This window comes from Homo sapiens, chromosome 19 (genome assembly GCF_000001405.40).
Source record: "Homo sapiens chromosome 19, GRCh38.p14 Primary Assembly".
In the NCBI taxonomy this organism is placed as follows: Eukaryota; Metazoa; Chordata; class Mammalia; order Primates; family Hominidae; genus Homo; species Homo sapiens.
The window spans coordinates 48,695,971-48,719,826 of NC_000019.10; the positions used below are offsets into that span (position 1 = coordinate 48,695,971).

General features: G+C 53.0%; 2 protein-coding genes and 1 long non-coding RNA gene across 18 annotated transcripts, besides 2 other annotated features; 1 reads left to right on the top strand and 2 right to left on the bottom strand.

The window, feature by feature from the left end:
* On the top strand, positions 1-9,981 carry FUT2 (fucosyltransferase 2 (H blood group)). 2 transcript variants are annotated; one of them, NM_000511.6, is made up of 2 exons: positions 1-119; positions 6,985-9,981. In NM_000511.6, exon 2 carries the CDS (start codon positions 6,987-6,989, stop codon positions 8,016-8,018), a length of 1,032 nt encoding a protein of 343 aa, NP_000502.4. In that variant the 5' UTR covers positions 1-119; positions 6,985-6,986; the 3' UTR covers positions 8,019-9,981. The 2 variants fall into 2 exon arrangements, with proteins under 2 accessions (NP_000502.4, NP_001091107.1); NM_001097638.3 differs by having other exon boundaries at positions 1-109.
* Positions 400-963: an enhancer, noted in NCBI's record as "H3K4me1 hESC enhancer chr19:49199627-49200190 (GRCh37/hg19 assembly coordinates)". NCBI's record gives its function as "activates a minimal SCP1, AML or CMV promoter by ChIP-STARR-seq in naive H9 embryonic stem cells {active_cell/tissue: H9 hESC(naive)}" and the evidence as "EXISTENCE:reporter gene assay evidence [ECO:0000049][PMID:30033119]".
* LOC105447645 (uncharacterized) lies at positions 6,480-7,878 on the bottom strand. The gene has a single exon (NR_131188.1). It is a non-coding gene; the product is annotated as an uncharacterized LOC105447645 (long non-coding RNA).
* On the bottom strand, positions 9,748-23,755 carry MAMSTR (MEF2 activating motif and SAP domain containing transcriptional regulator). Of its 15 annotated transcripts, none has more exons than NM_001130915.2 (10): positions 23,709-23,755; positions 23,004-23,082; positions 20,735-20,773; positions 19,655-19,797; positions 19,292-19,476; positions 18,836-18,938; positions 18,396-18,590; positions 17,890-18,075; positions 17,746-17,800; positions 16,755-17,580 (listed from the first exon to the last, which is right to left on the bottom strand). In NM_001130915.2, exons 2-10 carry the CDS (start codon positions 23,059-23,061, stop codon positions 17,297-17,299), a joined length of 1,248 nt encoding a protein of 415 aa, NP_001124387.1. In that variant the 5' UTR covers positions 23,062-23,082; positions 23,709-23,755; the 3' UTR covers positions 16,755-17,296. The 15 variants fall into 15 exon arrangements, with proteins under 15 accessions (XP_047294596.1, NP_001124387.1, XP_047294597.1 ...); XM_047438641.1 differs by having other exon boundaries at positions 19,655-19,827; XM_011526808.3 differs by having other exon boundaries at positions 19,655-19,986.
* Positions 18,358-18,647: a silencer, noted in NCBI's record as "silent region_10899". NCBI's record gives its function as "represses an Ori minimal core promoter by ATAC-STARR-seq in GM12878 lymphoblastoid cells {active_cell/tissue: GM12878}" and the evidence as "EXISTENCE:reporter gene assay evidence [ECO:0000049][PMID:35858748]".
* Positions 23,756-23,856: the final 101 nt, after the last annotated feature.

Below are 23,856 nucleotides of genomic sequence, written 5' to 3' on the forward strand. Positions count from 1 at the left end.
AGTCACCGATGCTGGAAGGGTTTCTTTGGCCCTGAGTGAAGAGAGACCCAGAGGGAACACTGAGGTGCCTGCCCAACCACTCTGTCCCGGTTTCCTTCAGCAGGACCAGGTGAGAGAAGGTGAGGGGGCTCCTCTCCCACCCTACAACACGCACACCTCTGCACACACGCCCAGGCGGAGAGCAGGGATTTGGGACGTGGACCTGTGTGCCCTCGTGGGTCCCTGGTGCCCTCTGGGAGGCACCCCCAACTCAGGACCTCCAGGAGAGGAGGGTCCCTCCCTCGGCAGCCAGGACCCCCCTCCCCAGCCAGCCGCCCTCCTTAGCTCCCTCCCCACTTCCTTCCAGGTGGATCTGTTTCTAGAGCTCCAACCACCAGCTCCCTCCCCTTCTCCACCCCGGGCCACCAGGTCCTTCCTTGTCTCCTTCCCCTCAGCAGTTTCTATGAACCACCCTGGCAGTAATGGTGCAGATGGCTCGCGCACAGCTGGTGGTGACCCGACTTTCCTGCCTCCACCCTGGGGCTCCTCAGAGGCTTCATGGAACCCAAACTGCTGGTCTCACCTCCGAGCCCTGCCGTCGCCCAGGGAGGGCGGCTCCGTCCCTCCTGCACTCCCTAATCCCGCTCTGAATCACCGCTTCTGTTCTGGGTCGGAGAATAAAGGTGGGGTTTCCAAGTGATGGCCCTACGTTATTGTCTGAAGCTCCCTTCTCCTCCCCAGGGTGGAAGTGATAATGCCGGGAATCCGGGAATCCCGGGGAGGTGCAGGAAGACAGCGAGCTCGAGGCAGTGGGGTGCGACTGAGCCGGATGTGCTGAGCTGCCCGGGGCACGGGGCGGTTGGGGTAGAGAAAGGCTTTCAGAGCTGGGGGACAGGACGGGGCCCCGGGTGAGCGGAGAGCTGGGTTATTTCACGGGAACAGCTGGTGACAAAGCCGGAGGGGTGTGCGGGGCCGGCGAGAGACTGGGATTGTGTCTTAAGAGGCATAGGGAGCCCTGAAGGGGCTGCGAGCTGGGAAGGGGCAGGGCCGGCGCTGGGTGTAGGGGACAGAGGGGAGAGGAGGAAGCCGGGCCGCAATAGAAAGACGTGGACGGGGCTGGACGTGGTGGCTGACGCCTGTAATCCCAGCACTTTGGGAGGCCGAGACAGGCGGATCACTTGAGGTCAGGAGTTCGAGACCAGTCTGGCCAACATGGAGAAACCCCGTCTCTACTAAAAATACAAAATTAGCCAGGCGTGGTGGTGCATGCCTGTAATCCCAGCTACTCGGGAGGCTGAGGCAGGAGAATCGTTTGAACCCGGGAGGCGGAGGTTGTGGTGAGCCGAGATTGTGCCATTGCACTCCAGCCTGGGGAACAAGAGCAAAACTCCGTCTCAAAAAAAAAAAAAAAAAAAAAAATCTCAGTAAGATAGACCAGGTGTGGTGTCTCATGCCTGTAATCCCAGCACTTTGGGAGGCTGAGGAAGGAGAACAGAGGACCTCCTGAGGCCAGGAGTTTGAGATCAGTGTGGGCCACATAGCAAGACCCCCTCCCCACCATCCCTACAAAAAAAGCAATTCAAAAAAAATAATGCCTTCAGGCAGAATGGGAGTGGTGCTTGGTTCAAGCCTGACATAAGTGTGAGTTTGGGGCACAAATTCTGCTCTGAATACCAGGGACAGCCCATGTAATACAGCATTTCCCTTTGTGCCCACGCAGCCCTAAGGGAGGTGTGGTTTGTTGTTGTTGTTGTATCTTTTTGAGATGGATTTTTGCTCTTGTTGCCCAGGCTGGCATGCAATGGTACAATCTCGGCTCACTGCAACCTCCGCCTCCCAGGTTCAAGCGATTCTCCTTCCTCAGCCTCCCAAGTAGCTGAGATTACAGTCATGAGCCACCATGCCTGGCTAATTTTTTGTATTTAGTAGAAATGGGGTTTCACCATATTAGTCAGGCTGGTCTCGAACTCCTGACCTCAGGTGATCCACCCGCCTCAGCCTACCAAAGTGCTGGGATTACAGGCATGAGCCACTGCACTGGCTCTTTTTTTTTTTTTTTTTTTTTTTTGAGACGGAGTCTCACTGTGTTGTGCAGGCTGGAGTGCAATGGTGTGATCTCAGCTCACTGAAACCTCTGGGGAGGTGTTGTTTTTATCCCTCCCCACAACCCCCTGTTGATGGACAGACAAGGACAATGAAACACAGAGAGGTAAAAGCCCTGGGTTAAAGTCACACAGCACATAAAAGGTTCCTGATCATGCCGTGCAGGGCATCTCGCCAAACCTCAAAAATTCACAATCTCATAGCGCAGCTTGCTCTGTGAGGCCTCCCCACCTCTTCCTTCTCTCCTTCCAGGCTCCAGTCAAGGTCAGTGCCCAGCTTCCTGCTCTGGGCCACTCAGCAGCCACCTTCCTCCTTCCTGGGTAAGGAGGTAGGGAGCTACCAAGGAGGCAGGGACATCCGTGTAGAACATTCTGCTTTTCTTTTTTCTTTTTTTTTAAGATAGAGCCTGACTCTGTCGCCCAGGCTGGAGTGCAGCTGTAGTGTAATGGCACAATCGCAGCTCACCACAACCTCCATCTCCCAGGTTCAAGTGGTTCTCCTGCCTCAGCCTCCTGAGTAGCTGTGATTACAGGCATGTGCCACCACGCCTGGCTAATTTTTGTATTTTTAGTAGCGACGGGGTTTCTCCATGTTGGTCAGGCTGCTTTCAAACTCCTGACCTCAGGTGATCCGCCCCCGCTTGGCCTCCCAAAGTGCTGGAATTACAGGCGTGAGCCACTGCGCCTGGCCTAATTTTCTCTAAAATAGAGACAAGTTCTCACTATGTGGTCCAGGCTGATCTCGAACTCCTGAACTCAAGCAATCCTCCCAGCTCAGCCTCCCAAAGTGCTAGCATTACATGTGTGAGCCATCATGCCTGGTCCCTGTCTGTTTCATTCTCCCTGTCTCTCTAGTCCTGCCTCTCTCTGTGTCTTCTGGTCTTTTTCTCTATTTGTCTCTTCCTCTGTCCCTTTTATCATCTCTGTCCCTTCCCTCCCTCCCTCCCTCCCTTCCTTCCTTCCTTCCTTCCATAGGTGAGAAAAAGTAGCATCTTTTCCTCACCTATCACAAAGTTTGCAGCTGGGGCACCTACAGTAAAAGGTTAACAGACACAAGCATAACAAATGTATTTAAGGCAAGTGTTGACATGGGAGCCTTCAGAAATGAAGGCCTAAAGAAACAGGGAAACCTGGGTGGGTTTTTTGTTTTGTTTTGTTTTTAGATGGAGTTTTACTCTGTCGCCCAGGCTGGAGTGCAGTGGCGCGATCTTAGCTTACTGACTGCAATCTCTGCCTTCCATGATCAAGTGATTCTCCTGCCTCAACCTCCCCAGTAGCTGGGATTACAGGTGCGCGCCACCATGCCCAGCTAATTTTTGTATTTTTAGTAGAGAAGGGGTTTCACTATGTTGGCCAGACTGGTCTCGAACTGCTGACCTCAGGTGATCCACCCACTTTGGCTTCTGGAAGTTCTGGCATTACAGGCGTGAGCCACTGTGCCCGGCTACCTCCCGTTCTATGATCTATGGTTTAAACGCTACATTTGACCACTATCAATACTCCCAGTATCAAAACTGGGAAACCTGGGTTCTTCACCCAGAGCCTAAAACGAACAGCATTCTTTGCCTTGTGGGTGACAATAGCAAACATTTACCGCCTGTGTATATGTGCCAGACACTGTTTTAATCCTCAGAGAGGTGATGTCACTTGCCCAAAATCACACAGCTCGTGACTGTGAGTCTGAAATTGGCCAGAGCTTGTGCACCTAGCCACTGGTGGTGATGTGTCTTTGAGTCATCGAGTCCAGCATTCTGTGTTGGACTTAGTGAAAGGATATACTTTTGTAGTGATGAGAAAGGAGCTTTATCTAGAATTTGTGAGGCCAGGCATGGTGGCTCACGCCTGTAATCCCAGCACTTTGGGAGGCTGAGGTGGGTGGATCACTTGAGGTCAGGAGTTTGAGACCAGCCTGGTCAACATGGTAAAACCCCGTCCGACTAAAAATACAAAAATTAGCCAGGTGTGGTGGTGCACACCTGTAATCCCAGCTACTCAGGAGGCTGAGGCAAGAGAATTGCTTGAACCCAGGAGGCGGAGGTTGCAGTAAGCCAAGATGGCGCCACTGCACTCCAGCCTGGGTGACAGAGCAAGACTCCATCTCAAAAAAAAAAAAAAAAAAAAAAGAAAAGGAAAAGAAGTGAACTGGTTCAAAGACCATAATCATACATATCACACAAGACTGCAAGCGGACCAGGGTCAGTTAATTTAGCGGCTCCACAAAGTCATCAGTCACCTGAGCTCCATCCATCTTCACATGCTGTGCTACCATTTATTTTATTTTATTTTTTTTTTTGAGACGGAGTCTCGCTCTGTCTCCCAGGCTGGAGTGCAGTGGCGCGATCTCGGCTCACCGCAAGTTGCGCCTCCCAGGTTCATGCCATTCTCCTGCCTCAACCTCCTGAGTAGCTGGGACTATAGGCGCCCACCACCACACCCGGCTAATTTTTTTATATATATTTTTAGTAGAGACGGGGTTTCACCGTGTTAGCCAGGATGGTCTCGATCTCCTGACCTCATGATCCGCCCGCCTTGGCCTCCCAAAGTGCTGGGATTACAGGCGTGAGCCACCGCGCCCAGCCAGCTACCATTTCTTAGCTGTATCATCTCACGGTCCCAAAAGGGCTGCTACACATCCAGCCATCACATGCAGATAATTTCTTTCAAAAACAGCAGAAAGAGGCTCGTTCTTGTCTTGGTCCCTTTTGAAGAATGAATGAAACCTTCCTAAGCCTTCCAGCAACTCCCCCCACAACTCCGATGGGTAGGAATTGTCACATAACCATGTGGCCCGATAGGAGGCAAAAGAAATGAGACTTCTGGGATTAGTTTAGCCTCAGATTCTGCAGCTGAGAAGTTGATCAGCCACCTCTGAAGGACAAGCAGCTTGCAGAAAATTAGGGTGGTGTTACCAAGGAGAAAAGGGGAAATGGCTTTAGAGTAGACAACAGGGATGCCCTGAGGGGTTGTGTAGGTTGTTCACTGCACGAAGTCCCCTGGTCAAGAAGGTAAGCGGGGTTTAAACAGACCCACAGTCTACTCATCAAACCAGGTGTCCTTGGCATTGTGTCCACCCAGAGAGCTCACTATTTTCTTTTCTTTTCTTTTCTTTTTTTGAAATGGAGTCTTGCTGTGTCCCCCAGGCTGGAGTGCAGTGGCATGATCTTGGCTCACTGCAGCCTCCGCCTCCCGGGTTCAAGCAATTCTCCTGCCTCAGCCTCCCGAGTTCAAGCAATTCTCCTGCCTCAGCCTCCCGAGTAGCTGGGATTACGGGCGTCCGCCACCACACCTGGCTAATTTTTGTATTTTTAGTAGAGACAGGGCCTTGTCATGTTGGCCAGGTTGGTCTCCAGCTCCTGACCTCAGCTAATCTGCCCACCTCGGCCTCCCAAAGTGCTGGGATTACAGGCGTGAGCCACCGCGCCCGGCCACAACTCATCTTTTAGAGCCAGCCTACACTTGTCATAGGCCATGGCCGATGAATGGGAAGTCCACGGTGGAGCTGGGTGTTCCTCTCAAGTTCAACTGGCTGCGGCCAGGAGGGCAGGCAGGCCAGGTGGACAATTTCCCTTCAAAGTGGATACAGGCAGGACATGCAAAGATGAATATCTCTGGCACTGGACTCTGGCAAGTAGGAAAATAAAAACAAAAGATGAACATCTTGGGCCGGGCGCGGTGGCTCACATCTGTAATCCCAGCACTTTGCGAGGCTGAGGCAGAAAGATCACGAGGTCAGGAGTTCGAGACTAGCCTGACCAACATGGTGAAACCCCGTCTCTACTAAAAATACAAAAGTTAGCCAGGCGTGGTGGCGGGCGCCTGTAATCCCAGCTACTCAGGAGGCTGAGACAGGAGTATAGCTTGAACCTGGGAGGCAGAGGTTGCAGTGAGCAGAGATCGTGCCATTGCACTCCAGCCTGGGTGACAGAGATTCCATTTCAAAAAAAAAGAACATCTCTACAAACTGGATCACCAGTAAATAATAGCTACATATACTTGTACTCACCATATGTGGACACCCACATATGTACACTCAGTCGATAAACACCCACATTTAAACATACCATGTGGGCCAGGTGCAGTGGCTCACGCCTATAATCTGAGCACTTTGGGAGGCCAAGGTGGGAAGATCACTTGGGCCTAGGAGTTTGAGACCAGCCTGACCAACATACTGAGACCTTATCTCTACAAAAGAGAATTTGTTTTTAGTTAGCTGGGCGTGGTGATGTGCACCTGTAGTCCCAACTACTCGGGAGGCTAAGGCAGGAGGATTGCTTGAGCCTAGGAGGTCAAGGCTACAGTGAGCCACGTTCTCACCACTGCACTCCAGCCCAGGTGGCAGAGCAAGATCCTGTCTCAAAAAATAAATAAAAAATTAATAAACAAAAAATGCATACAATGTATAGATACACAAAGTGTATATATATACATATATATGTATACACATTCACATATACACACATGCTGTGTTCACAATCACCTAGATGACATATGTATGTGTATACATACTTACACATATACCCTTACATGTACACGATATATCTCTACCCATACACTACCATGTACACATGTCCATTTGTACACAGCTGTATATGTACACACACAATTTTGCACACACCTGTATATGTATACAATGTATGGATCCCCATATCCACATTACACACAATGTGTACGCATCTACCTGTGTACACACACCCACCTATGAACACAATGTAGACACATCTGTATAAACACACTTGAGATACATGCCTGTGCACATAGGCAAGTATGTGCCAAGTATTTACACACCTGAAGTAGAAGCACACACACACCCACACTATGCCTGCACACCACCGCATGGCCACGTTCACCAGCGCCCCGGGCCTCCATCTCCCAGCTAACGTGTCCCGTTTTCCTCCCCTGACAGCCATGCTGGTCGTTCAGATGCCTTTCTCCTTTCCCATGGCCCACTTCATCCTCTTTGTCTTTACGGTTTCCACTATATTTCACGTTCAGCAGCGGCTAGCGAAGATTCAAGCCATGTGGGAGTTACCGGTGCAGATACCAGTGCTAGCCTCAACATCAAAGGCACTGGGACCCAGCCAGCTCAGGGGGATGTGGACGATCAATGCAATAGGCCGCCTGGGGAACCAGATGGGCGAGTACGCCACACTGTACGCCCTGGCCAAGATGAACGGGCGGCCCGCCTTCATCCCGGCCCAGATGCACAGCACCCTGGCCCCCATCTTCAGAATCACCCTGCCGGTGCTGCACAGCGCCACGGCCAGCAGGATCCCCTGGCAGAACTACCACCTGAACGACTGGATGGAGGAGGAATACCGCCACATCCCGGGGGAGTACGTCCGCTTCACCGGCTACCCCTGCTCCTGGACCTTCTACCACCACCTCCGCCAGGAGATCCTCCAGGAGTTCACCCTGCACGACCACGTGCGGGAGGAGGCCCAGAAGTTCCTGCGGGGCCTGCAGGTGAACGGGAGCCGGCCGGGCACCTTTGTAGGGGTCCATGTTCGCCGAGGGGACTATGTCCATGTCATGCCAAAAGTGTGGAAGGGGGTGGTGGCCGACCGGCGATACCTACAGCAGGCCCTGGACTGGTTCCGAGCTCGCTACAGCTCCCTCATCTTCGTGGTCACCAGTAATGGCATGGCCTGGTGTCGGGAGAACATTGACACCTCCCACGGTGATGTGGTGTTTGCTGGCGATGGCATTGAGGGCTCACCTGCCAAAGATTTTGCTCTACTCACACAGTGTAACCACACCATCATGACCATTGGGACGTTCGGGATCTGGGCCGCATACCTCACGGGCGGAGACACCATCTACCTGGCCAATTACACCCTCCCCGACTCCCCTTTCCTCAAAATCTTTAAGCCAGAGGCAGCCTTCCTGCCGGAGTGGACAGGGATTGCCGCAGACCTGTCCCCCTTACTCAAGCACTAATGCTGGCCCATTCTTTGAGACCTTTTCTCCTTCTCTGCCTCCCTCAAGATGAGTGCCCGGGCATGAGAAGCACATGGTTCCATGAGCAGGACCCATCTCTCTTCTGTGAAGATGCGTTGGGCTGCAAGTAACAGAAATCTCAGTGAACAGTGGCCTGGCGTGGTGGCTCATGCCTGTAATGCTCGCACTTTGTGAGGCCAGGGTGGGTGGATCACTTGAGGTCAGGAGTTCAAGACTAGCCTGGCCAACATGGTGAAACCCCATCTCGACTAAAAATACAAAAATTAGCCAGGCGTGGTGGTGCACACCTGTAATCCCAGCTACTCGGGAGGCTGAGGCAAGAGAATCACTTGAACCCAGGAGGCGGAGGTTGCAGTGAGCCAAGATGGTGCCGCTGCACTCCAGTCTGGGTGACACAGCAAGACTCCATCTCAAAAAAAAAAAAAAAAAAAAGAAAAGAAAAAGAAATGAATGGGTTCAAAGACCATAATCATGCATATCACATAAGACCAGAAGTGGCCCAGGTCCAGGGTCAGTTAATTTAGCGGCTCCACAAAGTCATCAGTCACCTGAGCTCCATCCATCTTCACATGCTGTGCTACCATTTCTTAGCTGTATCATCCCATGGTCCCAAAAGGGCTGCTACACATCCAGCCATCACATGCAGATAATTCCTTTCAAAAACAGCAGAAAGAGGCTCGTTCTTGTCTTGGTCCCTTTTGAAGAATGAATGAAACCTTCCTAAGCCTTCCAGCAATTTCCCCCCAACTCCGATGGGTAGGAATTGTCACATACCCATGTGACCCGATAGGAGGCAAAAGAAATGAGACTTCTGGGATTAGTTTAGCCTCAGATTCTGCAGCTGAGAAGTTGATCAGCCACCTCTGAAGGACATGCAGCTTGCAGAAAATTAGGGTGGTGTTACCAAGGTGAAAAGGGGAAATGGCTTTAGAGTAGACAACAGAGATGCCCTGAGGGGTTGTGTAGGTTGTTCACTGCAGGAAGTCCCCTGGTTAAGAAGGCAAGTGGGGTTTAAACAGACCCACAGTCTACTCATCAAACCAGGTGTCCTTGGCATTGTGTCCACCCAGAGAGCTCACTGTTTTCTTTTCTTTTTCTTTTCTTTTTTTTTTTTTTTTTGAGATGGAGTCTTGCTGCATCCCCCAGGCTGGAGTGCAGTGGCATGATCTTGGCTCACTGCAGCCTCCGCCTCCCAGGTTCAAGCGATTCTCCTGCCTCAGCCTCCCGAGTAGCTAGGATTACAGGTGCGTGCCACCACGCCCAGCTAATTTTTATATGTTTAGTGGAAATGGAGTTTCACCATGTTGGTCAGGCTGGTCTCAAACTCCTGACCTCATGATCCGCCTTCCTCGGCCTCCCAAAGTGCTGGGATTACAGGTGTTAGCCACTGCGCCCGGCCCTAGAGCTCACTGTTTTCTAGTTAGTCCATCTGGAAGTGGAGCCTTTTTCCAGTTTGCACAAATGTGCCATATTGGCTTGTAGCTGGCATGCATCCAAGTCCATAGGTCCTGCCTCTTCAATCCTGGCTTTCTAGGGCCTGGGATGATCATTGCTAGAACTGAGAGACCAGCCTGGCTCAGTGAACTTCAGGGCGTTCCGTTCATTCTTTCAGTAAATGTTTGCAGCACATGTGTTACATGTCAGGCAGTGAAACCCCCCACAGCAGCCTTCCCTCTCAGAGGATACATTTGTAACCATTACACAGTCATCAAAGGAATAATTTTTTTTAATCACCAGTGTGCATACAGTCATGGAGTTGGGTATTCCCAGCTACCAGGGAGGCTGAGGTGGGAGGATTGCTTGATGCCAGGAGTTAGGGAATATAGTGCACCGTGATTGGACTTGCGAATAGCCACTGCACTGCGGCCTGGACGACGTAGTGATACCCTGACTCTTATAAATAAATAAATGAATAAACACAATTATGACTTTGCGGATGGGAGAAAAGGTTCTCTGAGAGCGTATTACATAAGTATCACATGAACTCCAAAATACATCTTAGGCCAGGCATGGTGGCTGTAATCCCAGCACTTTGGGAGGGTAAGGCGGGCGGATCACCTGAGGTCAGGAGTTCGAGACTAGCCTGGGCAACATAGTGAAACCCTGTCTCTACTAAACATACAAAACATTAGCCAGGGGTGGTGGTGCAGACCTGTAGTCCCAGCTACTTGGCAGGCTTAAGCAGGAGAATCGTTTGCACCAGGGAGGCAGAGGTTGCAGTGAGCCAGGATCACACCATTGCACTCTAGCCTGGACAACAGAGTGAGACTCCATCTCAAAAAAAAAAAAAAAATTCTTAAGAGTAGATGGAATCCTATTACAAGTCTGGATCAAAAAGGCAGCTTTGGCTGGGTGCAGTGGCTCACACCTGTAATCCCAGCACTTTGGGAAGCTGAGGCAGATGGATCACTTGAGGTTAGGAGTTCAAGACCAGCCTGGCCAACATAGTGAAACCCTGTCTCTACTAAAAATACAAAATTAGCTAGGCGTGGTGGTGCATGCCTGTAATCCCAGCTGCTAGGGAGGCTGAGACAGAAGAATCGCTTGAACCTGGGAGATGGAGGTTGCAGTGAGCTGAGATCACACCATTGCACTGCAGCCTGGGCAACAAGAGCGAAACTTGGTCAAAAAAAAGAACAAGGCAACTTTTACAACGATTTTTTAGATCTCAATATTACAGTATTTTCTCCAGACTACCCACAAATACATACTGTGCACCTATCATGTATCAGAAAGCAATCTAGGAGATACGATCCCTGCTCTCAAGACGGCATTAACAAATCACTTCAAAATATAATTGGTACAGGCCAGGTGCAGTGGCTCACGCCTGTAATCCCAACACTTTGGGAGGCCAAGGTGGCAGGGTCACTTGAGAGCAAGAGTTCAAGACCAGCTTGGGCAACATAGGGAGATCCTGTCTCTACAAAAAATAAAAAACTAACTGGGTATAGTGGAATACAACTGTAGGACCAGCTACTCGGAAGGCTGAAGTGGGAGGATCAATTGAGCCCAGGAGTTTGGGGCTTCAGTGAGCCACAATCACACCTGTGCATAGCCACTGCATTCCAAAGTCGCAACATAGCAAGACACCATCACTAACAAAATTTTTAAAAATCGAAAAGATACAGGCCAGGCGTGGTGGCTCACGCCTGTAATCCCAGCACTTTGGGAGGCCGAGGCAGGTGGATCACAAAGTCAAGAGATCAAGACCATCCTGGCCAACATGGTGAAACCCTGCCTCTACTAAAAATACAAAAATTAGCTGCTGTGGTGGCACGCACCTGTAGTCCCAGCTACTCGGGAGGCTGAGGCAGGAGAACTGCTTGAATCCGGGAGGTGGAGGTTGCAGTGAGCCGAGATTGTGCCACTGCACTCCAGCCTGCCAGTAGCGCGAGACTCCGTCTAAAAAAAAAAAAGATAATTGAAAAGATACAATTAGATCCTGAGGCAAGCAGGTGCTATGGCTCACATCTGTAATCCCAGCACTTTGGGAGGCCAAGGTGGGTGGATCACTTCAGATCAGGAGTTTGAGACCAGCCTGGCTGACATGGTGAAACTCTGTCTGTGCTAAAAATACAAAAATTAGCCAGGCGTGGTGGTGCACACCTGTAATCCCAGCTACTCGGGAGGCTGAGTCAGTAGAATCACTTGAACCCAGGAGGTGAAGTTTGCAATGAACTGACATATCGCCACTGTACTCCAGCCTGGGCAAAAGAGCGAAACTCAAGAGAGAGAGAGAGAGAAAAGAGAGAAAGAAAAGAGAAAGAAAGAAAAGAAAGAAACAAAGAAGGAAGGAAGGAAAGAAAGAAAGAAAGACAAAGAAAGAAAGGAAAGAAAGAAAGAAAGAAAGAAAGAAAGAAAGAAAGAAAGAAAGAAAGAAAAGAAAGAAAGAAAGGAAGAAAGAAAGAAAAAAGAAAGAAAGAAGGGGAGGGGAGGGGAAGGAGGCCAGGTGTGGTGACTCACGCCTGTAATCCCAGCACTGTGGGAGGCCAAGACCAGTGGATTACCTAAGGTTGGGAGTTCAAGACCAGCCTGACCAACGTGGAGAAACCCTGTCTCTACTAAAAATACAAAATTAGCCAAGTGTAGTGGCGCATGCCTGTAATCCCAGCTACTCAGGAGGCTGAGGCAGGAGAATCGCTTGAACCCAGGAGGCAGAGGTTGCGGTGAGCCGAGATCATGCCATTGCACTCCAGCCTGGGCAACAAGAGTGAACTCCATCAAAAAAAAAAAAAAAAAAAAAAGAAGAAGAAGGAAAGAAGGAAAAAGAGAGGAAGGAGGAGGAGAAATATTTTTTCCAGTCTACACAATGAACATGACTATATCCTTTTGGGGAGGGAGTACGTTTATAATATAAATTAGTAATTTTTGGTATTTTGATGTTGGTGGTCTTTTTCAGGCCTCATGATGTAAATATCCACCTTCTGTTGAGATCAGAGGAAAGAAGGAAGGTGCTGCTTGGGGTTCCCCATCTGATCCCCCTTGGTCCAGCCCTGGTTTTCCTGAGGCAGGAGGGAGGGATGAAGTCTTTGGAGAAGAGTTGGGTGTTGGGCGCTCGGCAGTGCCGGCAGTGCAGGAGGCAAGCCTTTCAGTTAGGCTGAAGGTTCAGACAGGCACCCCACCAAGCCGGCTTCCTGGCCCTGACTCCTTGGGGCAGTGCAGGGACCACGTGCACCCTCAGCTCAACAGAGCCCACTCTGGATGCAGGCGAGATGCGGAAGGTGCAATGGAGGCAGGTGGGGGGCCTGGCAGAAGCTGAAAGACGAGTGCCCGAGACACAGAGAGATGAGCGCAGAGACTGACAGGGATGACGGATGCAGCAGGGATAAAGGGCAGGAGGGAGTTGGAGACAGAGATAGGGAGGAGAGAACAGCCAGAGGGCAAATCAGACAGAGAACAGAGAAGAGATATGAAGACAGAACCAGGACAGAGTGACCTGAGTCAGGCAGAGATGGGGACACATTGATATGGAGAGTGATACAGTCAGAAAAGTCTCTGGGCCAGGTGTGGTGGCTCACGCCTGTAATCCCTGCACTTTGGGAGGCTGAGGTGGGAGGAGCACTTGGGGTCAGGAGTTCAAGACCAGCCTGAGCAACATAGTGAAACCCTGTCTCTATAAAAAAATGCAGAAATGGCTGGGCATGGTGGTGCACACCTGTAATCCCAGTACTTTGGGAGGCTGAGACTGGAGTGCAGCGGCGTGATGTCGGCTGACCACAACCTCCGCCTCCCGGATTCAAGTGATTCTCCTGCCTCAGCCTCCCGAGTAGCTGGGATTACAGGCATGCACCACCACACCCGGCTAATTTTGTATTTTTAGTAGAGGCGGGGTTTCTCCATGTTGGTCAGGCTGGTCTCGAACTCCCAACCTCAGGTGATCCGCCCGCCTCGGCCTCCCAAAGTGCTGGGATTACAGGCATGAGTCACTGCGCCCAGCCTGGTCTACTGTTCTTTTCCACCTGCAGTGGACAGTGCTGGTGGCGCACCCAGGTGCCTTCAGATTCCTCTTGCCAGTTCTGTGCACCCAGCCCCCAGCTTGTGTGCTTGGTGTATTAATCATGCCTTTGTATTTTCTGAACTTCTGCTGCTTTGACAAGTGCGGGCCTCGATGACTCTGGAGGGACTGACCCTCCCAGGGATAGCCAAATGCTAGAGATAGTTAACTACTCACCTTTCCTATGTAAACCAGCCAATCCAGAGCCCACACCCCATCCACACCTTTATGAGCACAGGCTCCCTGAGCCAGGCACCAAAAACTCAGGACAGCCTCTATGCTCCAGAGCCTGCTGAAATTCAAACTAGGTAATCTCAAACCCACTTACCTTGCCTCTTCTGGTCTTTTTTGTTTTGTTTTGTTTATTTTTATTATTATTTCTTTGAGACAGAGTCTCACTCTTTCGCCCAGGCTGGAGTGCAGTGGCGTGATCTCGGCTCACTGCAAGCTCCACCTCCTGGGTTCAGGCCATTCTCCTGCCTCAGCCTCCCCAGTAGCTGGGACTACAGGCGCCCACCACTGCGCCTGGCTAATTTTTTGTATTTTTAGTAGAAACGGGGTTTCACCGTGGTCTTGATCTCCGGACCTCGTGATCCACCTGCCTCGGACTCCCAAAGTGCTGGGACTACTTTTGTTTTTTTAAGATGGAGTCTCACTGTGTTGCCCAGGCTGGAGTGCAGGCATGATCTCATCTCACTGCAAGTGATTCTCCTGCCTCAGCCTCCCGAGTAGCTGGAACTACAGGTGTGCACCACCACACCTGGCTAATTATTTTTTTTTTTTGTATTTTTAGTAGATATGGGGTTTTAGCACATTGGCCAGGCTGGTCTCGAACTTCTGACCTCAGGTGATCCACCCGCCTCGGCCTCCCAAAGTGCCAGGATTACAGGCGTGAATCACTGGGCCCAATCTTTTTTTTTTTTTTTTTTTTTTTGAAACACAGGATCTTGATCTGTTGCCCAGGCTGGAGTGCACTGGTGCAATCATAGCTCACTGCAACCTCAAACTTCAAAGCTCAAGTGATCCTCCTGCCTCAGCCTCCAGAGTAGCTGGGACTACAGGTATGAACCACGGTGTTTGGCCCTGAAACCTATTTTTTTTTTTTTTTTTTGAGATGGAGTCTCACTCTGTCACCCAGGCTGGAGTGCAGTGGCGCGATCTTGGCTCACTGCAACCTCCACCTCCCAGATTCAAGCAATTCTCCTGCCTCAGCCTCCTGAGTAGCTGGGATTAAAGGCGCATGCCCAGCTAATTTTTGTATTTTTACTGGAGACTGGGTTTCACCATATTGGTCAGGCTAGTCTCGAACTCCTGACCTCATGATCCACCCGCCTCGGCCTCCCAAAGTGCTGGCATTACAGGCATGAGCCACCGCGCCCGGCCAAAACCTACATTTTAAAACATTTTGCTGCTAACAACTTACCCTATGACGTTCTTCCCAGGACTGCCCTTGGGCTGGAGGTTCCTGGGAGTTTATGTCATTCCTCCCTCCCTCTGTGACCCATGGCTCATGGCTGACTAGGGGTGGTATAGTGGCAAGTCTCCAGATGTAGCCCCTAGTGAGCATGTCCCTGATATTCACAGATTTGTATAGTGCCCTCCCGTATTTAACGTGGGCTTGCCTGACTTGCATTAATTATAAAATACAGTGGAAGAGAAATTGTGCCAGTTTCAAGCCTAGTCTTTAAGAGACTGGTAGCTTCTGCTCCTGGCTCTTGGAATACTCACTCTTGGGAGCCCTGAGCTATCATGCAAGAAATCTAGTTATCCCGGGGGAGAGGCCACAGAGGAATAGTGCTGACACTGCATGGAGTGTCACACTGCACAACCCAGCTGGGCCCAGCCTTCATGCTATCCCCACCACGGTGCCACACACATCTGATGTGCCATCTTGTATGTGCTAGCCCAGGTGGGCCCTGAGATGACTGCAGCTCTAGCCAACATCACATGGAACTGAAGAACTGCCCTGCTGAGCCCAGTCAACCCATGCATTTGTGAGCAGTCATAGATAGTTATTGTTTTACAACTCTAAGTTTTGGGGTGGTGTGGGTTTTTGTTGTTTGTTTGTTTGTTTGTTTGTTTGTTTTGAGATGGAGTAGCACTCTGTTGCCCAGGCTGGAGTGAAGTGGCATGATCTCAGCTCACTGCAGCCTCCACCTCCTGGTTTCAAGTGATTCTCCTGCCTCGGTCTCTCACGTAGCTGGGATTACAGGCTCCCACCACCATACCTGGCTAGTTTTTTTTTTTTTTTTTTTTTTTTGAGACGGAGTCTCGCTCTGTTGCCCAGGCTGGAGTGTGGTGGCACAATCTCAGATCACTGCAAGCTCCGCCTCCCGGGTTCACGCCATTCTCCTGCCTCAGCCTCCCGAGTAGCTGGGACTACAGGCACATGCCACCATGCCCAGCTAATTTTTTTGTATTTTTAGTAGAGACAGGGTTTCACCGGGTTTCACCGTGTTAGCCAGGATGGTCTCGATCTCCTGACCTCGTGATCCGCCCACCTTGGCCTCCCAAAGTGCTGGGATTACAGGTGTGAGCCACCGTGCCCGGCCCAGTTTTTATGTATTTTTAGTAGAGATGGGTTTCACCATGTTGGCCAGGCTGGTCTTGAATTCTTGGCCTCAAGTGATCTGCCTGCCTCAGCTTCCCAAAGTGCTGGGATTACAGGCGTTTGCCACTGAGCCTGGTTTGTTGTTTGGCTATAATAAGCTCAAACAGGGAGATACAAAGGCCCAGTTCCATGTGTCCCAAGACAGGAAAGACTCCACAACTTAATTTGTGCTCTGGAGCTCCCTGCAGGATTAGGCTGAGGTTGGAACTTCACCTGAAGTCACCTCTTGCTCCTCTTCCCCTTTGCTGTCCTGTTTTCCCCACTCTTCTGCTGGTTTCTCCTGGGAACATTTCTTTCTTTTTCTCTCTCTCTTTTTTTTTTTTTAAGATGGAGTTTAGCTCCTGTTGCCCAGGCTGGAGTGCAATGGAGCGATCTTAGCTCACCACAACCTCCGCCTCCCGGGTTCAAGCGATTCTCCTGCCTCAACCTCCCAAGTAGCTGGGATTCCAGGCATGTGCCACCATGCCCAGCTAATTTTTTTTTGTGTGTGTGTGTTTGGTAGAGACAGGGTTTCACCATGTTGGCCAGGCTGGTCTCGAACTCCTGACCTCAGGTGATCCACTTGCCTCAGCCTCCCAAAGTGCTGGGATCGCAGGCGTGAGCCACCGCACCCAGCCAGAACACTTCTTTAATAAATGACTGGCATTTATATCTTGTCTCAGGCTCTGCTTCCAAGAGAAGCTGATCTTAGACCTGATGCTTCTAATTTTTTCATCTCCAACCAGAACCCAGGGAGGTCAGGGTCCGGCTCCCCCATTCTCCCTCTCCACTCTTTCTTGCTCCTCTCCTGCATCCAAAAGGCATAACCACCTTCCAGGCTCCCCAAACAACAGGGAGCCATCTACCGGGGTCGGGGGCATGTAAGAACATCCATGAGGTCTCTGAAGGAAGCAGCAAGCAGCTTGTTTGCCGTGGCCAGCAGCAAAAGAAGCCCCCCAACCATACCACGCCGGAGGGGGATCATAAGGAGGCCAGGTAGGCAAAGTTAAGGCAGTTGCATGTCAGCAGCACTTCAGGAGGCAGGTGGGGTTGGAGGTTGTCTCCGATCCTGTGTCTGCGGTAGGAGGGGCTCTGCTGGTAGTTCCCTCTCCTCCCACAAGGAGCTTCTCTCCACCCCCATCAGTTCTCTGTCTCTGTAAATCCTAGAATCCATCACCATGGATCCTCCAGCAGGTCCCACAGCCGGCTGCTGCTGGAGTCAGATAAGTCAGCGGAGAAGATGCTGGGGGGTGGGGGACCAGAACCCAGAGGAGGACCCCCGCTCAGGGCCTCCAGCCAGTCCAGGGAGTCCGTGGGGTCCCTGGGAGAAGGGGAGGAGGAGTTCGTGGGAGACGGGAGTGAAGAGGAGAAAACAGATGAGAGGCCTTCAGAGTCCGGGGAGGGGGACAGCACGTCGAAGGAGCCAGGGAAGTCCAGGGGAATAGGGGGCAGGGGGTCTGCGGGATAAAGAATGGTACATGAGCTTGGAAAGTCAGGGGTCCGGGCGCCAGCCCCCCATACCCCATTTCCAGGATCCAGCTCCCCAGCTCACGCCTCCCTTGGACGCAGGAGTCCAGAACCTCAGCCCCCACCTCCCCTAAATCTAGCAGTTTGGATCCTACCATCAGGCTCCACCTGATCCTCCAGGATGTCATCGATGCCCCGGTTAGGAAGCAACTGCGGATGGAGAAATTTGGCGTGAACTCGGGACTGCGACCTGGACCTGACTGGAGAACCCTAGCCGGATTCAACCCACACCCTCTTACCTGCGCCCTCCGGATCGCTTCCTGCAGCTCCTCCTCCAGAGTCAGAGCCGCTGAGCCCGGCCCTGAGGAAGGGGTCAGGGCTGGAGCTGCAGCAGGAGCCGGAGTGGGAGTTGGAGCCGGAGCCGTCCCCGGGGTATCCGCGGCACGTGGAAGAGGTGGCCTGTGAGATGCTGCGCTGGGCTTGACCTAGAGCAGCCAAGAGGGCGAGCGCCCATAAGCCATGCCCACAGGGCGCAACCCCACCCACTCGCAACGTGTGGCTCCACCCCTTGATCCTCTCGCGACCCCTCGCTCATCAACCCCTTTGGCCTCGCCCCCTATTCTTTCATTGGCTCCTCTTCTCTAAAGATCCGCCCCCTGTTAGTCTGAACCACGTCCCCTCGCCTTCAAGGCTTCCTACCGCTGGTCCTCGCCCCCACACTTCATTGGCTAGTTTTTTCGACACCCCGCCCCGGCCCACTTTGCTTTCTCTTCATTGGTCCGCAAGCTCATAGCCCCGCCCTCACCGAGCCCTGACGCCGGGCGGCTGCCAGGGCCTTGGGCTTGAGGCGCGGCCAGGGAGCACCCGCGGGACTGTCCTCGCGCCGCGGCTTCGGCCGCTCGCGGGGCGGCGCGCCGCCGCGCATGCGCTCCAGGAGCATAGACTTGGTCCCCGACACTGGGAGGCCCCGCAGGCGCAGCTGCTGCCGGAGCTCTGAGACCTGGGGAGGGGCGGGGCGTGGGAAGAGGCAGTGCTGGGCGGGCTCCCGGGCGCAGGCAGGAGCTGGACAGGATATTTGGAAACCGAGAAAGGAGGCACTGGGGGTCCGGACTCCTGGGACCCTAAAACAGGATGGGACTGGGTACCCGATCTCCTGGATTTCCAGAGGGCAGAGGCTGCGGGGTTGGAATTCTGGGACCCCACCGAAGGAGAGAGAAGGCCTGGAAAGTTACACCCCAAACTCACCGTCAGCTCCTCCAGTTTAAGGGTCTGAAGTTCCAACTTGTGTGGGGGGGGCGAGGGGCTAGGGACTCCTGGTGGGCAGGGAGTGAGGGGAGAGGGCTTCATCCTGGTGATAATCGTGAGGGGCGAACAAAGGTTAGAGAGGTAGAGGGGGAAAAGGCGTTCTGGGGTCCTCAAAGACGGGGAGCTGGGGAAGATGCAGAAAAGTGAGGGTCCAGAATTCTGGGTCTCCAAGGGCGCAAACATGGGGCTAGATTTCTGTGCATGGGGGAGGAGGAACTAGGCGTTCAGACTCGGGTCTGAAGGGCGAAGGGAGGGGCTGGGATCCTGGACTCTTAAACCCTGGGAGAAGAGAGGGTTGGGGGCCCCAATCCCCTAATCTTGGACTCGAGGTTTGAGGGAGGAGGATGCTGGGACCTGAATTTCTGGGTCCCGGGAGAACAGAAGTGGGTGTCATACCTAGGATGTGGCTGCTGCGAGTCTGTCCCTTCCCACAGAGATGGCCCAGGAGGACCCAGGGCGGACCCCTCGGCTTGGGGGTCCGCCCTGGATCCCTGTCTCGGCTCTGGGGGCATGTACTGGTGGTATGTCAAGTTCCCCCTGGGCTTGGACTCCCTCCAACGTTGGGAGATCTTGGGAGACTCCTGAAAGAGCAGGTGTGATGTTTTAGGCTTCAGCGCGGCTCCCACCTTCCGGCCCCAGGACTACATGCAAAGTATGGGGTCAGCTCGGTGCCACCGAAGAGGAGCAAAAATGGCAGCAGCAACAAGGGAGACAAAGACTAGGCTCTCAGAGGGACCTCTCCCTCCAGTCGAGACTCACCTTCTTTGGGGACCTCCAAGGAGGACAATATTCTGGCTCGGGGAGCAGGACCCCAGGGCTGAAGAGGAAAGGGGCCGTGCCCGAGGGCAAGGCCGGGGCCAGAGGAGGGTCTGAGGCTGAGATCCACGGGTCCGGATCCGAGACTGGAGAGACGGTGAAGGACCCTGAGAGGCCTGCAGGCAGCAAGCCAGGCCGGGAGGAGCAAGGCTGTGTGGAAAGCGGGGCTCCAGGGTGCCGGAGGGCAGGCCAGGGAGCAAGACTTGATTGCTGGGAGATGGGCGCCTGAACTGGATCTGAGGGCGGAGGTGTGGGGGGGCTCCGGTTGCTACATTCTCAAGTAAAGCAGGAATTTTCTATCACAAAGGGGTGTGGTAGCTGAGGATCACAGATGTCTGAGGTTTTGCTAGGACAGGGGTGGGGCCTGCACTCCTGGTTCTTGGGGAGAGGGAGAGGCTGAAAGCTACATCCAGGCCGGCCGCGGTGGCTCACGCCTGTAATCCCAGCAGTTTGGGAGACTGAGGCGGGCGGATCACTTGAGGTCAGGAGTTCAAGACCAGCCCGGCCAACATGGTGAAACTCCGTCTCTACTAACAATACAAAAATTAGCCAGGCGTGGTGGCACGTGCCTGTAATCTCAGCTACTCAGGAGGCTGAGGCAGGAGAATCGCTTGAACCTGGGAGGTAGAGGTTTCAGTGAGCTTAGATTGAGCCATGACACTCCAGCCTGGCGACAGAGCAAGATTCCATCTCAAAAAAAAAAAAAAAAAAAAAAGCTATATCCAGAGCTTCTCATGTATACCAAATGTGGAGACCAGGATGCCTGTCTTCTCCAAAGAAGCAGGATCCAAGTTCAAGCATCTCATTAGGGTGGAGAAGCAGGAAGCAGAGCTCCTAGGGGTGGGGTGGCCAGAGACCTGGACCCTGGATCCTTGGGAAAGGACAGGATGGGATTTTGGTCTGTCCCAGGGGATGGAGACTGAGCTGCAGGAACCAATGAGGGGTATCTGGCAGCTGTATTCCAGGATATCCCAGTGGGGAGTGGGGGGTCACCATCCCCTCCCTTTTGGGGCCCATACTTACTCTGCTCCTGATTCCGTCTGTGGATCCGAAGCTGGAGGACTGTGGAGGGAGGAGGGAGGTGGGAGGAGGAAGGCGGGAAGGGAGTGTCCAGGAGCCTGGCCTGGCAGGCTGGTGGGAGCTGCAGTTGTTGGCGGGATATGCGTGCCCAGCCCCCTTACACAGCCTGTGCAGGCGGGTGGGCGGGCAGCAGGCTCCCTTCCTCGGGCCTCCCGCCTGCTCCCTGCCAGCGCAGCGCCGCGGGCCAGCGCCATTCTGGGGCTACGAGCCAGCCAGCGTGCAGGCTGGAGGCAGCCCTGCCCCCGGCTCCACCTGCCCCCTCCATGAGCAAGCGTGTGCCCACCCCACCCCCTGCGCAATCGCTATCTTGGCAGCCTGGCCCCTTTGCACCTCGCCTCCCTTTATCCATGCACTCCTGCTACTTTCTGTGCTATCTCGGGGCCTTCCCACAGTCAACACTCTCCGCATATCCACATTTTCAGTATGCATCTCTCTGGGCTCTAGTTTTGCACACATGCCATTTTTACGCACTTGCATGTTTTTGCAGACTCTTCATCCTTGACTCACTCTGCCTCAGCATCCATGTTAACACTGTTTTTTTTTCCTTTTTTTAATTTGTTTTATTTTTTTAGAGACAAGGTCTCACTCTGTAACCCAGGCTGGAGTGCAGGGGTGTGATCATAGCTCACTGCAGCCTTGAACTCCTGGGCTCAATCCATCCTCCCACCTAAGTCTCCTGAGTACCTGGGACTACCTAAATTTTTTTGTTTTGTTTTTTAATTTTTTGTAGAGACAGGGTCTTGCTGTGTTGCCCAGGATGAATGTTAACTATCTTTTTTTTTTTTTTTTTTGAGACAAAGTCTCGCTCTGTCACCCAGGCTTGAGGACAATGTCACAATCTCAGCTCACTGCAACCTCTGCCTCCCAGGTTCAAGCGATTCTCCTGCCTTAACCTCCCAAGTAGCTGGGATTACAGGTGCTCACCACCACACCCGGCTAATTATTATTATTATTATTTTTTGAGACAGAGTATCGCTCTGTCACCCAGGCTGGAGTGCAGTGGTGCGATCTCAGCTCACTGCAACCTCCACCTCCCGGGTGCAAGCAATTCTCCTGCCTCAGCCTCCCCAGTAGCTGGGACTAGAGGTGCACGCCGCCACACCCGGCTAATTTTCTGTATTTTAGTAGAGATGGGGTTTCACCGTGTTGCCCAGGCTGGTCTCGAACTCCTGAGCTCAGGCAATCCGCCCGCCTTGGCCTCCCAAAGTGCTAGGACTACAGGCATCAGCCACCTTGCCCGGCGTCATTTTTTTGTATTTTTAGTAGAGACATGGTTTCGCCATGTTGGCCAGGCTGGTCTTGAACTCCTGACCTCAGGTGATCCACCTGCCTTGGCCTCCCAAAGTGCTGGGATTACAGGTAAGAGCCACCGCGCCCCACCTGGATGAATGTTCACTTTCTTATGTGCACAGTCAGGGTTTGTCCCCCAATTTGGGAGCAAGGATCTCTCTGCACATTTCTGCTTTTCTCTGGACATATGCGCCTTTTTGTATACTCCTTGCTCTTTGATTGCTGGTGTCTTTGTACCCATCCAACCACATAGGCACGCTCACGTGCACACTCAAGTACCCTTTGCCTTCTCAGGAACTGATCTGTAGTTCGAAACACTTGCACACTTCTTTTTTTTTTTTTTTTTTTTTTTTGAGATGGAGTTTCGCTCTTGTTGCCCAGGCTGGAGTGCAATGGCGTGATCTCGGCTCACCGCAACCTCCTCCTCCCGGGTTCAAGCGATTCTCCCGCCTCAACCTCCCAAGTAGCTGGGATTACAGGCATGCGCCACCACACCCGGCTATACTTGCAGACTTTTTGCCTGCCCTGGGACCTAAAACAAGACCTTTGACACTTTCACAGCTTGACAGCTCATTGTCCCCTCACCCAAACTCCCACACTGGTCCTCTGAGGTCCCTCCTCTGCTCTTCTGCCCCTGCGTGTGCGCCAGTATAAGCCTTTGTTTCTCTTCAGTGCTTGAGCCCTCTGCACGCCTACCCCTGGCCTCCAATCCCCATTGCTCCCCCCGTGAGCATGCTACTAGCCATTTGCACACTCGTTGATCCACCACAGCCGGACCCCTGTGCTTGGGCCTCCTTTATGCAACATGACCTTTTGCACAAAAAACACAGGCCTCATGGGACCTACCACCCCTCCCTTCCCACCCCAGAGTACAGCATTCTCAGGATCCCATCCCCCACGCATAAAGAGAGCCCTCTCTCACCAGATCGGAACTTGGAGCGAATGATTTGGGAACGCTGGGAGGAAGCCGCCAGGGTCATTGCCAAGGCCGGGATGGGGACCTGGACGGAGAGGGGGCAGGGCAGGGGCCCCATAGAGGGCTGGCTCAGAGTGGAGGTCAGGAGGCCGCCCCTGAGAGTGAATTCAGCAGGGAAAGGGCCCGAAGGAGGTGGGAATAGGAGCAGCCTTGGGCCATAACTTCCGGATCCCAGGGGCTGTAGAGGAGGGGGCTGCACACCCGGACACCTTGCTCCGAGGAAGGAGGAAGCTGGGGACCCAGACACCTGGTCTGAAAGACAGGGCTGAGGGTCTCAACCCTGGGATCCTGGGAGGGGAGGGACCTGGAATCTGGGACTCCTGGGTCCTGAGGAGGAAGGGTTGCGGGTTGGGACCCCTGTGTCTAGGAAAGGGAGGAAGCAGAGGGGCCTGGAGTCTGGAATCTTGAAGGAGAAGGAGGTTAAGGGCTGGAACTCAATACTCTTAGGAGATGAGAATCCAAGATCCTGGGTGGAGAGGGGAACGGGGCCCTGACAGGTTTCTGAGGAATAGAAGGGCCCCTGTGACCTGCATCTGAGAAGGAGTGAGTAGGGTGTCAGCCACCAGGTTCTCTGGGGAAGGGACTGGGACCAGAGAGGGGATAGAACCGTTGAGGAGTGCGCCCCCCCCGTCCACCCCAGGGGCTTCTCACCAGGTGGGCTCGGCGAAGCTGTGCTCTGGGGCGGGTTGAGTCTAGAGGCCGAGGCTGGACACCACAGGCTCCGCCCCACCAGCCTGGGACCGCCTCCAACCCACCTTCCTGGGGTGTGACGGGAGCCCCGCCGGGGACCCTGAGAAGG